Genomic DNA, 15,926 nt, shown 5'->3' on the forward strand with positions numbered 1-15,926 from the left:
GACAGACGGATGGATGGATGGATTTTGATTGCAAGTATGTATGGTCACCTTGATATAGAGTAAGGTAGACATTGTCCAAAAAGCTGCCCCCTCATTATTTTACCCTGGTCCATTGCCATGATGTTAATTAAAATCTCAAAGATCATTTCTTTTTTTTTTTTTTTTTTTTTTTTTTTTTTGGAGACAGAGTCTCGCCCTGTCACCCAGGCTGGAGTGGTGCAGTGGCATGATCTCGGCTCATTGCAACCTCCACCTCCGGGGTTCAAGCAATTCTCCTGCCTCAGCCTCCTGAGTAGCTGGGACTACAGGCATGTGCCACCATGCCCGGCCAATTTTTTGTATTTTTAGTAGAGACAGAGTTTAGTAGCCAGGATGGTCTTGATCTCCTGACCTTGTGATCTGCCTGACTCGGCCTCCCAAAGTGCTGGGATTACAGGCGTGAGCCACCGTGCCCAGCCAAGATCATTACTCAAACAACTCCAGCACACAATTTCCCTGTCAGTTACACTCCATGGCTGAGTTTTATCACACCACATGGCGTTATGCCCATGAGTGTCACTACTGTTTAGGGGACAAGGGAAAGGCTTTTCAGAGAACTTTCAAAGGCCACAGTCCATGCTCCTGGGGGCTAATTGATCTCCAAAACCTGACTAACCTGTGACATTTTCATAGCTACCCAAGACTCAGCTGGAGGTCTAAAAAACCATTCCATGCCTGGAAGTTCTGAAATGGAGCCCTAGATCTTTTAGGAGGAGTTGGGGGACTGAAGCAGGTGTTCACAAGTCCTGCCAGGTCCCAGGAGCTCCTTGATACAGAGATGAGGAAACAGGGAGAATGAGTCTCTTTCCTCTTAAGCCCCTATGAGGCGGATGTCACCCAGGACTCTGTGGGAAAGTTGCAATGATAATGCAAGAAAGGCTGACCCCTGGGAGAGAAGGAGGGATGACAAAGGAGGTAACTAAAAATCTTGTTTGGATTACATGGAAAGGGAAGGTTCTTAGGCAGTCTGAAGCCAAACCACCAAAAGAATAAGATGTAGAAAACAAAGATGGAGAATTTTCAGAATTGAGTTCAAGAACGAAGCTTGAAGTACATGTGGAGATTAAGGTGGTGACTTTCTGAAAAGAACATAAAAATATTTGTGAATCATTTATTAATTCAACCATGAACACTGAGTACCACAAAGACAACAGGATTTGTTCCTGCCCTCACAGGCTTCAGGCTGGCTGGGGAGACAGACCCCCTACCCACTAGTTTACTATAAGAGAAACAGCAGCTCATAGCAGGAATGGGGTCCCACTGTGCAGCACAGCAGGGTGACCCCAAGTCAGCCTGGGAGCTTCGGGGACACTTCCCAAAGGAGCTCATCACTGGGGCCGGGACCTGCAGATGCAGATGCTTTTCCGAATTGGAGTAGGGCATGCCTCTCGCAGAGGAATGGTTTCAACAAACCAAGCCTGAATCTGTTTCCCACTGCCAAGTCTCTTAAAAGGGGTTTCCAGGCTAGTGTACAAACATTTCTTAATCTGATAATTTCCTGTCTTGTTTCCTAATAAATTTAACAGTAAAAGAAAGCCTTCTGGCATTGTCTGTGTTATTGAATTCCTAAATCTTTAGTTTCAGAGACCTTCACTTAGATTATTAGCAAACATTTATCGACTCCCTTCTCTGTGCCAGGTTGTCTCTGTCTATTATCCCATTATAGCCTCCCAGCCATGCTAGGGGGTAGATAGTATCAAACACTTTACAGAGGGAGAAATACACTCAGAGAAGCCAAGTCAAGAGCCCTAGCCACACAGCTGGAAGCCGGTAAGGTGGGAATCTGAACCCGGCCAGGTCCGTCCGATGCCCATTCAAGGGCTGCTGCGTTGCTGCACCCCAGCTGCTTCCTTCCCCTTTGTTAAAGCTGAGACATGGTGCCAGGACCCCCCCACCCTTTACATTCTGGGGTCACTTAACAGAAGACCAAGTCTAGCTTGTCAGGCAGGACTTAGCAGAGTCAGCTCTCCTCCTGCAGCCAGAGACAAACAAGGCAGTGCCCAAGCCTGTGTCCAGAGTACCAAGGCTTACACGGTCAGCCCCTCCCCAGCACAGCCTTATACAATCATCTCCTGCTTGTAGCTCCTTCCCCAATGCTACACCATAACCACCCCCACACAGGGAAGTAAACCTTTGGTTGCTCACACTCTAATGCTGGAGATAGACAACACATTAACAGATAATATATAATATAGTATAACACAGTGGTAGGTGCTATAAAGAAGAAATAAAACAGAGTGAGGGGATGGGAGAGCGATGCAGGGTGTTATTTTTTAGTAAAGCATTCGGAAAGGTTTCTCTGATGGCTCGGCACAGTGGCTCATGCCTGTGAAAGGAATCCCAGCACTTTGGGAAGCCGATGAGGGCGGATCACTAGAGCTCAGGAGTTTGAGGCCAGCCTGGCCAACATGGCAAAACCCCCTCTCTACAAAAAAATACAAAAATTAGCTGGATGTGGTGGTGTGCACCTGTAGTCCCAGCTACTTGAGAGGCTGACGTGGGAGGATGGCTTGAGCCTGGGAGGTGGAGGTTGCAGTGAGCCGACGTCAGGCCACTGCACGCCAGCCTGGACAATAGAGCCAAATACTGTCTCCAAAAAAAAAGAAAAAGAAAAGTCTCTCTGAGAAGGTGACATTTCAGCAAAGAGCCCTAAATGAGTAAGAGAGCAGGCTGTGCATCTACCCGAGAGAAGAGAGTTCAGGAAGAGAGCAGAGCAAATGCAAGGGCCCTGAGATGAAAATGTGTTTGCTATGCCCAAGAAACCCCCAGGAGAGTCATTTTATTATCTTTGCCATCCCCGCCTTCCTACACACTAGGTAGATTCTTCCCTAGGCCAGGCCCAAAAGAAATTGGCAGTCGGGAATTGCCTGGAACAACTAAATTCTACACAGCAACATGGGGAAAAGTGAAAAGCATTTTAAGACAACAAGTTAACCAACTCTCAGTTTCATAACTGATAAGTACCAGTTAGATATTGTGCATATGCAGCTTAACAAACTACCTCCAAATTCAGCGGCTTAAAACATCAACCATTTTCTATTGCTCAGTGCTCTGTAGGTCAGCTGGGTGCTTCTTTGATCTTGGCCAGGCTCACATATGAGTCTGTGGTGAATTGCTAATCTTGGCCGGACTCTCTTACATTTTTAGGAGTTGGCTGACTGTCCATTGGTCTAGGAGAGCCTTGGCTCTTCTCCATGTGTCCTTCTTATCCTCCAGCATGCTAGCCAGGCTTCTTCTCTTGGTGGCGGCAGGGTTCTAAGAGAGAAGAAGCAGCCAAGACCTTTTGAAGCCTACACTTGGAACTGGCACCCTAACATTCCCATCACATTCTGGTGGCCAAAGCAAGTCACAGGCTGGCCAAGATTTAATGGATGGGCAAATAGACTGTTGATGGAAGGAACTTCAAAATCATCTTGCATGCATATAGACAGGGGTGAAAAATGGAGACCATTTTTGCAGTCAATCTACCCAAACAGATAAGGAATCAGAGACTGGAAAGCATAACACTGCTTAATTCTGGAGCAAGCAACTATGACTTCTGGCCCCCAGGTTTTAGTGGGGAGTCTAGAATATTTTACCTATTCTGACGGAAGCCTCATCAACAAAGCTTTTTTAAACTCTGGTCAGCCTAGGGGTTTTAAGGATGTCCATTAAGTCCAAGAGGACTTTGAGGGCTCTGAAGACCAGTAAGTACCCTGGGTCAAGCCCAGAGGTTTTCGCTTAATAACTACTGGTAAAGGAAAACTAACTCCATACTTGATAAATCTACATAGTTCTGTTTACCCACCAGCCATGATCCCCTAAATCCCCCCAAAAATGACTGCAAAATATATGGAAACCCCAGGAAGCAAAAGAACCAGAGCTAATGAGTTATTTCACTGTTTGTGCTTAATTTGTTATTTCCAACAGATTTTGAGGCAACTTATAAAAATATGTACAACATTGTATCATAGACAACAAAAGGCAAAAATGTTAAAAATGCATTTCCTTATTTACACATGGGCTGCAAATTTGGCTGTGAGCTTCCTAGTAGGAGCTGAAGGTAAGAAACACATCTATGCTATGTATCTGTAGACTTTGTCTTTTGTCCCATGGGGGCAAATTGTAAAGGTTTTCCATTTGAGGTTAATGGTATTTCAGCACCCACGAAGTTTGTATACTTGCCTATCAGTTCCTGGGTAATAATGCCAGGGAAAACATCTCACATATGGTTATACTGCGAGTTCCAGAAGGGCAGGGATCCAGCTGTCTATGTATGACCATGTTCCCTAGTTGTGCCTGGCAGAAAGTAGGGATTGAGTAACCAAGAAGCAGTATGCTGAGTGGCTAAGAGATTGAGCTCTGGAATCAGAAGACTTGGTATTCAATTCCTAGCCCCATTTTTAGGATCTACGTGACCTTAGGCAAATTACTGAACATCTCTAAGTTTTATTGCATTCCCTATAAAGTAGAGATAATAATGGCAAATATTTTATAACACTTCCTCTATGCCAGGTATTTTCCAAATGTTTTATACATATTAACTTTTTTAATCTTCCTCCAACCCTGTGAGGTAGGCACTATTAATATTACCATTTTACAGATAGGAAAACCAAGGCACAGAATGATTATACTTACTTGCCTAAAGCTACACAAGTAGTAAGTAAAGCAACCAGGGTTCAAACCCAGGCAATGTCAACCCCGAGCCTTTGCTCTTAACAGTTACCTTATACTGTCTCCTAATAAATGTTGGATTTCCTACCATATAGTGTGGCTGAGAGGATTAAAATAAATCTGAATTTAAACATGTAAAATGCTAAGCAGAGTGCCTGGCCCATAGTTTGTACTCCATAAAAGTTGGCTGTTCTCCTCCTTCTCCTCCTTCATCACTACCACCATTATCATCATTGAAGGTTGGATGGATCAATGCTGATGGTTCTCTTACTTGGTTTTCTCTTCGTAGATAAGTAGCATCTGATATGGTTTGGCTCTGTGTCCCCACCCCCTCACCTTGAATTGTAATCCCCATAATCCTCACATGTCAAGGGCGGGAGCAGGTGGAGGTAATTGGATCATGGGGGCAGTTTCCCCCATGTTGTTCTCCTGAAAGTGAGTGAGTCCTCACGAGATCTGATGGTTTTGTAAATGCCTGGCATTTCCCCTGCTTGCACTCACTCTGTCCTGCCGCCCTGTGAAGAAGGTGCCTGCTTCTCCTTTGCCTTCTGCCATGATTATAAGTTTCCTGAGGCCTCCCCAGCAATGCGGAACTGTGAGACAATTAAACCTCTTTCCTTTCTAAATCACCCAGTCTCGGGTATTTCCTCATAGCAGTGTGAAAATGGACTAATATAGCATCCCTGTCCCCTGCGTTCAATAAAAAAACATAGACACAGAGAAAAGCCCAGAGGAGAGTGAAAGGATGTCAGGGTGTTCTATTTGCCAAGGGGCCATCCTATACATCTAGAAAAGTAGGCACATTGGGAGGCAGCAATGCACCCTGATGGCCTCTATCAGAGACACAGTGCCAGACATGGTTGGCCCAGGGTTCTGCCCAGAGCAGCAGCTTTCATATTTTTTGTTCAAAATGACCTTACCAAATGGTTGTCTGTCTCCAGTTGCACAAGATTTTGGGAAGATGATCTGCAAGACCATTTGAATCCAGACATTAAATAAACAGGACTGCACATCTGTGGGAACAGGGTATTTATCAGGTACTTTCTATAGGCCAGAGGCTTTAAGTATATTATCTTGTTTAATCCCTGCAATAAACCTATGAAGTAGATAGTTTAACCCCTCTTTGCTGATGCAGAAGCTGGCTGGAGAGCAGGAAGTTCTTTGTCCCAGTTGCACAGAGGGCAGCTGCAGGATGGTATCAAGCTCTGGCAGTGCCGGTATCTTGTCCCTCTTGCTCTACCCCACCTTGCCGCCAGGCCAGTCCCAGAGCAGAGAAACCTTGAATAAATGGGAATGTGGACAATCAAAGGCATTAGTTTGCCCTTTTTTAGGACCCATAAACCCTTTGGAGAATTTGAATGAACTCCCCCCTTAGACAAATGCACAACACACTCAAAGTAACAGAATTTCAGGGAGACCGTGACCCTCCAGCCCACTGTGGATCCTGGCTTATGTTCATTTGCTCTCCAGGGAAATTATTTCCTTTAGGTCCACTCAAACTCATATTTGAACCTCAGTTCCCTCTGTATCTAAACTTGGGTCTTCATCACCAGGCCACGGCTGCCCTTGACCCCAATAGTGGAAATTGATGAGTAGTCCAAAACTCAGGCCTGCATCTGACACTAAAACATGATGCTAGGACCTTCTCCCTGACCAAGCATATTTTTACATGAAAAATAAATAAATAACTTCAGTTTACCTGTATACCCCATGTAGAGTCTCCAATGAGGAAAAAGAAAATTAAACCCTGGTATATAATCTTTGTGTAATAGATCAATTATAGATTTCCCTAATCTCTATAATCTAACTCTCAAAGCTTCTTTGAATAATTATATTTCCATATTTAAATTTCATAATCCTCTAAAAGAAGGAGAAATAATTCCAAGGGAAATTGTTGATTCTTTTAATAAGGGACAAAGTAGTCGAAAGCTGGGTTAGTGCACGTTAACTGACTTTCCTCTCAGTTAACATATGTTGGGAACCTACTGTTTGCTTAGCACATGCAAAATACTTTGATACACATGATCTCATTTCGCTCTCATACCTCACTCCCATCCCCAGAAGTCCGATGAGGAAAACAAGGTCATTACTATCACCCCCATTTCACAGAAGAGGAAACTGAGGTCCAGAGAGATTCTATGACCTGCCGAAAGTCAAACACAGTGAGAAGTGGCAGAGCTAAGACTGAAGCTCTGGATTCCAGTCTCCAAGTCCCATTTGCTCAGGCCTCCAAGTCCCAGTTGCTCAATATGTGAAGCAACATTTTAAAACAAAGATCTGGGTTGTTGACTTGCTGCAAATAGTGCAAATACTAAGAAAGCAATCCCGTTGAGAATATGTGAGTCATCTGTACTATTAATTAGACAACCTTCTCCCCAACATTCAGGGCCCAGGTCTCGAGTCTCCTTTGCTGTGAAGTCCCCTCTGACCATCATCCCCTTTCCCTAACTAGAGGGTCTCCTTACCCTGAAAATTGGGTCACATGTTGGAGTGGGTCATGATTATATGGCACTTTTTGCAGTGAACTCTTTAAGGGGTGGTAAGTTCCTGAATTAGTCAGAGACACCAGGACCATCAGATGAGGAATTGGCCCAAGATTCATTGCCGTGGCAACAGCTACTTGACTTAGCCTCTGACTTAATGTCTTGGCAGGTGGGCAAACCAGAGGAAGTAAGGATGACTCAGTGTGTTCCTGCCTGAGCTGAACAGGAGAATGACATGGCTGTCAAGGGAGAGGCAGGAGGCTGGGCTTGGATGGTGAGCATTTCTGGGAAGGTCTTTTCTTCCCTGAAAGCTGAGGGTTCCTAAAGTACAGCACTAGGTAGTGCCCAGGAAATGGTGAATCTGTGTCATAGCCCACAGTGTTTTCAGACTGCCCATGTCGACCCATTAGTGGATCATGATGTCACTTTTGTTGCTGCAGTCAGCATTTTTTATTACTAAGATGGAAGAGAAGTGAAAAGGAAAACAAATGAGAGTGCCTCACATGTAGTAAGGGTCACTGTTATTTTCCATTAATATTTTAATGGAAATTATGAAGAGTGTGTGTGTGCATGTGTGTGTGTGTGTGTGTGCGCACACACACACCAGGCTGTGATATAAAATATATTCTTACTCTGAGTCACAGTCAAAAATATTTGAAAAAAACAAGATTGGATTAGAGTCTTAGAAGAAAATCCATTGACTAATTTCCTGATTATGGAAACATTAAAATCTAATGGTCATCTGTATCATTCATCCATTATTCTTTTTTTTTTTATTTTTTTGGAGACAGAGTCTCACTGTGTCACCCAGGCTGGAGTGCAGTGACATGATCTCAGCTCACTGCAACCTCCGCCTCCCGAGTTCAAGTGATTTTCCTGCCTCAGCTTCCTGAGTAGCTGGGATTACAGGCACCCACCACCACAGCCAGCTAATTTTTTGTATTTTTAGTAGAGACGGGGTTTCACCATGTTAACTAGGCTGGTCTTGAACTCCTGACCTCAGGTGATCCGCCCACCTCGGCCTCCCAAAGTGCTGGGATTACAGGCGTGAGACACCACACCCGGCCCTGTTATTCATTATTCATTATTTATTTATCCAAAAAGTCATCTACTAGGGTTCCCTACCCCGTTGTCTCACCCTCTGTTAGATGTGAAGGTGAAATATTTAGGAGAAAGTGAGTAGCTCAGTGTGTCTGGAGCCACCAATCAGGCAGTGGGGACGAGAGCAGGAGTGTGAAAGGCCCACCTTACAAAGGTGCCCATCTTCAAAGGAGGAGCCTTTGCTGAGGCCTTGTGGTTCAGGCAGGGTGAGGAGTGGACTTTAACTTCTGGTCTTGGCATTCTGTCTCCCCTCACCTGCTAGTTGGTTTAAATTATTTAACACTTGTCTATTGACACTATTTTATTTCCAGATTATTTTGTCCATGCCAGTGTCATCTCTTCAGTTTTAAATGACTTGAATATGTCCTCTTCTTTTGCATCTCCAAAAAGCTGGGCAGGTATTGCCTAGGTTTTCTTCTAGGGTTTTTATGGTTTTAGGTCTAATATTTAAGTCTTTAATCCATCTGGAATTAATTTTTGTATAAGGTGTAAAGGGATCCAGTTTCAACTTTCTACATATAGCTAGCCAGTTTTCCCAGCACCATTTGTTAAATAGGGAATCCTTTCCCCATTTCTTGTTTTTGTCAGGTTTGTCAAAGATCAGATGGTTGTAGATGTGTGGTATTATTTCTGAGGGCTCTGTTCTGTTCCATTGGTCTATATCTCTGTTTTGGTACCAGTACCATGCTGTTTTGGTTACTGTAGCCTTGTAGTATAGCTTGAAGTCAGGTAGCGTGATGCCTCCAGCTTTGTTCTTTTGGCTTAGGATTGACTTGGCAATGCGGGCTCTTTTTTGTTTCCATATGAAATTTAAAGTAGTGTTTTCCAATTCTGTGAAGAAAGTCATTGGTAGCTTGATGGGGATGGCATTGAATCTATAAATTACCTTGGGCAGTATGGCCATTTTCACGATATTGATTCTTCCTATCCATGAGCTTGGAATGTTCTTCCATTTGTTTGTATCCTCTTTTATTTTGTTGAGCAATGGTTTGTAGTTCTCCTTGAAGAGGTCCTTCACATTCCTTGTAAGTTGGATTCCTAGGTATTTTATTCTCTTTGAAACAGTTGTGAATGGGAGTTCACTCATGATTTGGCTCTCTGTTTGTCTGTTATTGGTGTTATTGGTGTATAGGAATAGGCAAGGACTTCATGTCTAAAACACCAAAAGCAATGGCAACAAAAGCCAAAATTGACAAATGGGATCTAATTAAACTAAAGAGCTTCTGCACAGCAAAAGAAACTACCATCAGAGTGAACAGGCAAACTACAGAATGGGAGAAAATTTTTGCAATCTACTCATCTGACAAAGGGCTAATATCCAGAATCTACAAAGAACATGAACAAATTTACAAGAAAAAAACAAACAACTCCATCAACAAGTGGGCAAAGGATATGAACAGACACTTCTCAAAAGAAGACATTTATGCAGCCGACACATGAAAAAATGCTCATCATCACTGGCCATCAGAGAAATGCAAATCGAAACCACAGTGGGATACCATCTCATACCAGTTAGAATGGCGATCATTAAAAAGTGAGGAAACAACAGGTGCTGGAGAGGATGTGGAGAAATAGGAACATTTTTACACTGTTGGTGGGACTGTAAACTAGTTCAACCATTGTGGAAGACAGTGTGGCGATTCCTCAGGGATCTAGAACTAGAAATACCATTTGACCCAGCCATCCCATTACTGGGTATATACCCAAAGGATTATAAATCATGCTGCTATAAAGACACATGCACATGTATGTTTATTGCGGCACTATTCACAATAGCAAAGACTTGGAACCAACCCAAATGTCCATCAATAATAGATTGGATTAAGAAAATGTGGCACATATATACACTATGCAGCCATAAAAAATGATGAGTTCATGTCCTTTGTAGGGACATGGATGAAGATGGAAACCATCATTCTCAGAAAACTATCGCAAGGACAGAAAACCAAACACTGCATGTTCTCACTCATAGGTGGGAATTGAATAATGAGAACACTTGGACACAGGAAGGGGAACATCATACACTGGGGCCTGTCATGGGGTGGGGGGAGGGGGAAGGGATAACATTAGGAGATATACCTAATGTAAATGACGAGTTAATGGGTGCAGCACACCAACATGGCACCGTATACATATGTAACAAACCTGCACATTGTGCACATGTACCCTAGAACTTAAAGTATAATAATAAAAAATAAATAAATAAAATGTCGAGCAGGGTTGGAAACACAGCAGGTGTTCAATAAGTGCTTCCACTGTGTTGACAAATACTTAATACTTGTTCTTTAGGTCTCTGATAAGACATCCCTTCATTCATAACCTTCTCCCACCATAGAGCATTTAACAAATGATTTTGCAGCTATGTGTGTAACAACGTGTCTCCTTCACTTACACTGGGAGCTCACTGATCATGGGATTATGTGTGTTCTCTCCCTCACTATATCCTCAACCCCAAACGCAGCACAATGTCTGCCTTGTTCCTTGTATCCTCAGTAGGATACTTGGTAGGTGTATCTGTTAGTTTTCACCACAATAACGGTGAGTAACTAACATCCCCACTCTCTCAGTGGCATACCAAATAAGCATATGTCTTTATGGGCAGCTGGGGCAGCTCTAAGCTGCAGGCCGGTTCTGGATCTGCTCTGTGTGTCTCTTATGCCAGGCTAGTCAGGGCATGTTTTTCTTTTCTTTTTCCACCTTCAGATCTCCAGTTTTGCAGACAGCACATGTTTTTCTTTTTTCTTTTCTTTTCTTTTTTTCTTTTTCTTTTTTTTTTTTTGACAGTCTTGCTCTGTTGCCTAGGCTGGAGTGTGGTAGCACAATCTCGGCTCATCACAGCCTCTGCCTCTCAGATTCAAGCAATTCTCCTTCCTCAGCCTCCCCAGTAGCTGGGACTACAGGCCACCCACACCCAGCTAATTTTTATATTTTTAGTAGAGACGGTGTTTCGCCATGTTGGCCAGGCTGGTCTCGAACTCCTGACCTCAGGTGATCTGCCTTCCCTGGCCTCCCAAATTGCTGGGATTATGGGCGTGAGCCACCACACCAGGCCTAGGGCATGTTTTTCTTATGACCAAGGCAGAGGCGCAAGAGAGCAAGTTCAATTTTACAAGTACTCTTCAGGCTTTTGACTCCATCGTGTTTGTTAACATAGCTTTGAACAAAGTAAATCAAGTAGTCAAACCCAAAGTCAAGAAGAAAGGAAAAGCACTCAACTTAGGGAGGTTGGGGTGGCAAAGGAAAGAGTGAATATTGCCAAATCATCTACCCAAGTAAGTTCCCAGCTTCTCACTGAATGTTTATGGAATGGAAAGGAAAGAAAGAGGATAATTGGATTCCAGGGATTTCCCATGGGTATTCACCATACAAGTTACAAAAGCCCATGGGGACTCTTCTACATCCTGACATATAGCTCCACAGAGAAAGCCAGAAGCCTTGTCAAACAGGTAACAGCCCGACCATCCAGAGCTAGATCTGTTGAACAAACAAAGTGAGCCCTCAGAAGCAATTTTCGGCAGAGACTATTCCCCCAGGGCACTGAGGGACCACAGCTGCCTTTGTGGGGAGAACAAAGGGAGTGACCTGACCACCAGAGTCACAAGAAGTCACATCTAGGAGTGGATAGCAACCCTTCCAGGCCCGAGGAGAGGATTCTGTTTTGTGTTCTTTGGAAATGTGTATGTACAGACGAATGCCCACATGCTTGTTAAAATCAGTAGTCAGGACTTTGAAGAGACCTTTGCAAATAGCTGGGCATCCATTTCTAAAAGGAGTCCAGAGCGTTGGTTCCTACATTGGCTTTCTTTGCAGTACCAGCTCTGGCGTGGTTTGAGGTTGTGCAAGATGTTGCACCCTTCCCTCGGTTAACTGAAAAATAACAATCTGTTTTCCTTTCATTCTCTGTCTCCCTTCTGACTGCAGGGGTGCTGTGCCTACCAGACAGCCTGAATCTTCACAGAGACCCACAGCGGTCAAACAAGCCAGGGGAACTGCCCATGTTCAGCCAGTCGGAGCTGAGGACCATCGAGCAGTCTTTGCTGGCCACGCGCGTAGGCAGCATCGCCGAATTGAGTAAGTAGATGTTGGTTCTCCAGCTCTCATGCCTCAAGACATATCCTGTCTGTGCCCGAAGTGACACAATGTCCTCATGCCAACCCCTCAGGGCACTATTTTGTAATCAGCGGGGTGACACCTTTTATTGACTGCCTGCTGTGTACACTAAACAATGCCAGTGGCGTGGGGAAGGTAAGAGCTCTGAAGCTGGCACATTTCCTGGTTCCGCCATAAATGCAGGTCAGGTTCCTAAGCTTTTCTGAACCTCAGTTTCCTTTTCTATAAACTAGAGAAAATATCAATGCCTACCCAGAGTGTAGTTGCGGTGATTCAATGAGCTCACATCCATAAAGGTGTCTACCTAAATAACAAACAGAGAAGGAGATTCTCTAAAACAAAATCATGTTTATCTGGGAATAGGCCTTGCCGTGAGAATGTGCATGCCAGAGTATATTCTCAGAGAAATATTACGTGTGTATTCAGGGGGCTAAAGGAGGACAATGGTCTTTAATGGAAAAGTGAGGAGGAGGATTACAAAATTGTTTTTGAGATAATTATCGTTGGCTACAAGGATCAATAAATGACAAGGGTGGCACCAGTCCGAGTTTGGACTGGCAGTCGCTGGTCACATGTCTTCATATAAGTTGTGTGTGTGTGTGTGTGTGTGTGTGTGTGTGTGTGTGTGTATAAGGTTACCATGGCCTTCGTGCAAGGCTGTGATTTTTGCAGAGGTGTTCTGTGATAGTTCTTGTTATCAGGCATTTGTGCATGGAAATCTTCCCTTCATGGCCTTTGCTGACTCTCTTCATCAGGGATTTTAACACAAATGATTCCATTTTAATTCTGACAGCTTTCACAAGAGGGTTTGCCAAGGTGCCTGGCACATGGTAAATACTCTATAAATGGCTGGCCACTGTTGATTTCCACAATGAGATCCACTTAAAGCATATATCAGATCACATCTCTCCTCTGTTCAGAGTCCTCCACTGGCTCTGGTTCAGTGGTTCCCCATCTGACCCACAGGAAAAGCCAAAGCCCCAGAATTACTTCCATGTCCCCCCACCCCCTACCCTCCCCAGACATCCTCCTCCACCCCACCTCTGTCCCCTGCTTGTTCCTTGAGCACAAGAGGTTTACCACAGGACCTTTGCACTTACTCTTCCCTCTGCCTGAACTGTTCTTCCTCCAGGTATCCCCATGGCTCACTCCCTCACTACCTTCCCATTTCACCCAAATGTTACCTTCTCAATGAAGCTTTCTATGACCATTGTATTTAAAATCATAATACTCTGAGGACCCTTGTCTTAGTCAACTTGGGCCACTATAATGAAATACCATATACAGTGTGGCTTAAAACACAGACATTTATTCCTCATGGTTCTAGGGGCTGGGAAGTCCAAGATCAAGGTGGCAGACAATTCAGTTCCTGGTGAGGTCTCTCTTCCTGGCTTGCAGATGGGTACCTTCTCCCTGTGTTCTCGCAGGGTGGTGGGGTGGGGGAAGGTATTCCTCTTCTTATAAGTCCTCTAACCCCATCATGACGATCCGCCCTCATGGACTCATCTAACCCTAATAATTTGCCAAAGGCCCTGTCTCCAAATACTGTCACATTGAGGGGGCAGGGCTTCAACATATGGATTTGGGGTGACAGACATTCAGACTATGGCAACTTTTCTCCCCTTCATTGCTTTACTTTTGTCCCCAGAAGTTATCATCCTAAGATATACTCTATATTTTTGTTTTTTAATAATAGGTTTATTGAGATATAGTTCATATACAATTTACCTTTGTAGAGCATGCAATTCAGCAGTTTTTAGTATATTTACCAGGGTATGCAACCATGACCATAATCAATTTTAGAACATTTTTATTATGGCAACAAGAAACCCAGTAGCCATCAGCAACTACTCCCCTCCCCTCCCACCCACACTCTATATTTTATTTTTTTAATTGTCTCTCTCTCTCTCTCCCTACTATATAGAATATAGTAGAAACATTTTATTTGCTCACTGATGTAACCCCAGCACCAGGAATACTGCTTGGCATATAGTAGGCCCTCAGGAAACATAAAGGAAGGAAGAGAAAGAGAGAGGGGTTGGGAAATGGGAAAAGGAGGGAAGGAGGGAAGGAAGGAAGGAAGGAATGAAGGAAGGAAAGAAGGAAAGAAGGAAGGGAGGGAGGGAGGGGAAGGGAAGGGAAGGGAAGGGAAGGAGGGAGGGAAAAGAGGCAGAAAGATGCAAAGAAGGAAGGGATAATCAAGGTTGGGGTGTCCCAAGTTTAAGTAATAATTTACCATGCTTACATACCCCCTAATTCAGGGCTGTGCTCTGTGAGTCTGACTAACCAGAGGAAAGTAATCCTGTATTTACTTATGATCCAATTGATTATCAATTTAGCTGAATATTAGTTACTGATGGAATTGAAGCATTGATCACAGAAATGCTAGATTGTGTTAAAGTGGGGGTTGGTATTGAAATTCCAGCAAATCCTGAACTATGAAAGAATTTAAGACCCAAAATGCAACTTCCACTTCTTCCCAGAGGAGTTCCCTGTACACCCAGATAGGCACTCTCCATTAAACTTACGGCCTGCACCTCTGGAAAGGGAGTCAGTAGCTGATCCAAGCCATAGGGGGCGCTTATGGCCACTAGAGAGCTACTTTCCTGGCATCTGAATTTGGAAGTTGCGCTTCCATTCCCTTCAAACCTCTGAAGTCACAAAATGCCTCCTGTCCCAGGGCCTCCTAGCTACTGGTCAGTCCTGGGATTCTTCTGAAACTTTTGGGAGTTACAACACCTTTGGCAATGTGGTGAAACCTGTGGACCCTGTTTCAGAATAATATTTTTAAATGCATAATGTGCAAATGATTACAAAGGAAACTGATTACATTAAAATTCAATTATCATAATATTTTTAATCTCAATTGTGACATAGTAGTTCTCCGGGTTTCTTTTTTTCTTTTTTAATTAGCATGTGATATAACAAGATATAGCAGCAGGTCAGATGACCCCATGATTTGGGTGTAATATGTGTGAATGCTATTTTGAGATGTCTGCGACAAGTGGAATGGGGTAAGGAAATATCTACATTTTAATACGTACTCGGGGCGTTCAGAGGCAGAAGGTCCAAGCAGCACTCTTGGAGAGACATTGCTGTAAGACGAACTGCCACACATATGGGACTTCAATGTTTTCCAGGACATGCTCATGACCCTAGAAATGTAGGATCTGGCTACCGAGTTGGGACATAGCTTTGTGGGACAACCCCAGAAGAGGCCCTCACACCATGTGGCCCACACACACTGTCCCTAAGGTCTCAAAGCTTTGTCCTGGGATGTCTCAAAGTCCTCCCCCAGCCTCCAGCACCTGGACTGGGGCCCTGCGTAATTCTGGTGCTCTCTTCGAAGAAAGGATTTGCTAAACAAATCTGCTCTTCACCTAAGAGGCAGCCTGCAGGAGCTGCTTGCCACATAAATTGTTTTTAAGGACAATTTGCTCTGTAAATTAAATGCTGTCCTCATTGAATGTTGACTTTTGCATGTGAGTTGTTGGCACACAAATGGGTGTTGCTAATTGCGAATGGGTTTTGTACATTCAT

General features: G+C 43.9%; 1 protein-coding gene across 7 annotated transcripts in view, besides 1 other annotated feature; it reads left to right on the top strand.

Annotated features, from left to right (window-relative positions):
* Positions 1 to 15,926, top strand: part of ABTB3 (ankyrin repeat and BTB domain containing 3) — a 341,209-nt gene that overhangs the window by 189,856 nt on the left and 135,427 nt on the right. For 6 of the 7 annotated variants that reach the window (NM_001018072.2, NM_001347943.2, XM_047428301.1 and 3 more), the window contains exon 2: positions 12,198 to 12,347. In NM_001018072.2, the coding sequence (NP_001018082.1) occupies positions 12,198 to 12,347 (150 nt within the window). Of the gene's footprint in view, positions 1 to 11,466; positions 11,954 to 12,197; positions 12,348 to 15,926 lie in introns of those variants that run through there. The other variant, XM_005268645.4, reaches the window with a different exon arrangement.
* Positions 7,203 to 7,497: an enhancer, noted in NCBI's record as "tiled region #1299; K562 Activating non-DNase unmatched - State 22:ReprW". NCBI's record gives its function as "activates a minimal TATA promoter and a strong SV40 promoter by Sharpr-MPRA in K562 cells {active_cell/tissue: K562}" and the evidence as "EXISTENCE:reporter gene assay evidence [ECO:0000049][PMID:27701403]".

Source organism: Homo sapiens, chromosome 12 (assembly GCF_000001405.40).
Source record: "Homo sapiens chromosome 12, GRCh38.p14 Primary Assembly".
Taxonomy (NCBI): domain Eukaryota; kingdom Metazoa; phylum Chordata; class Mammalia; order Primates; family Hominidae; genus Homo; species Homo sapiens.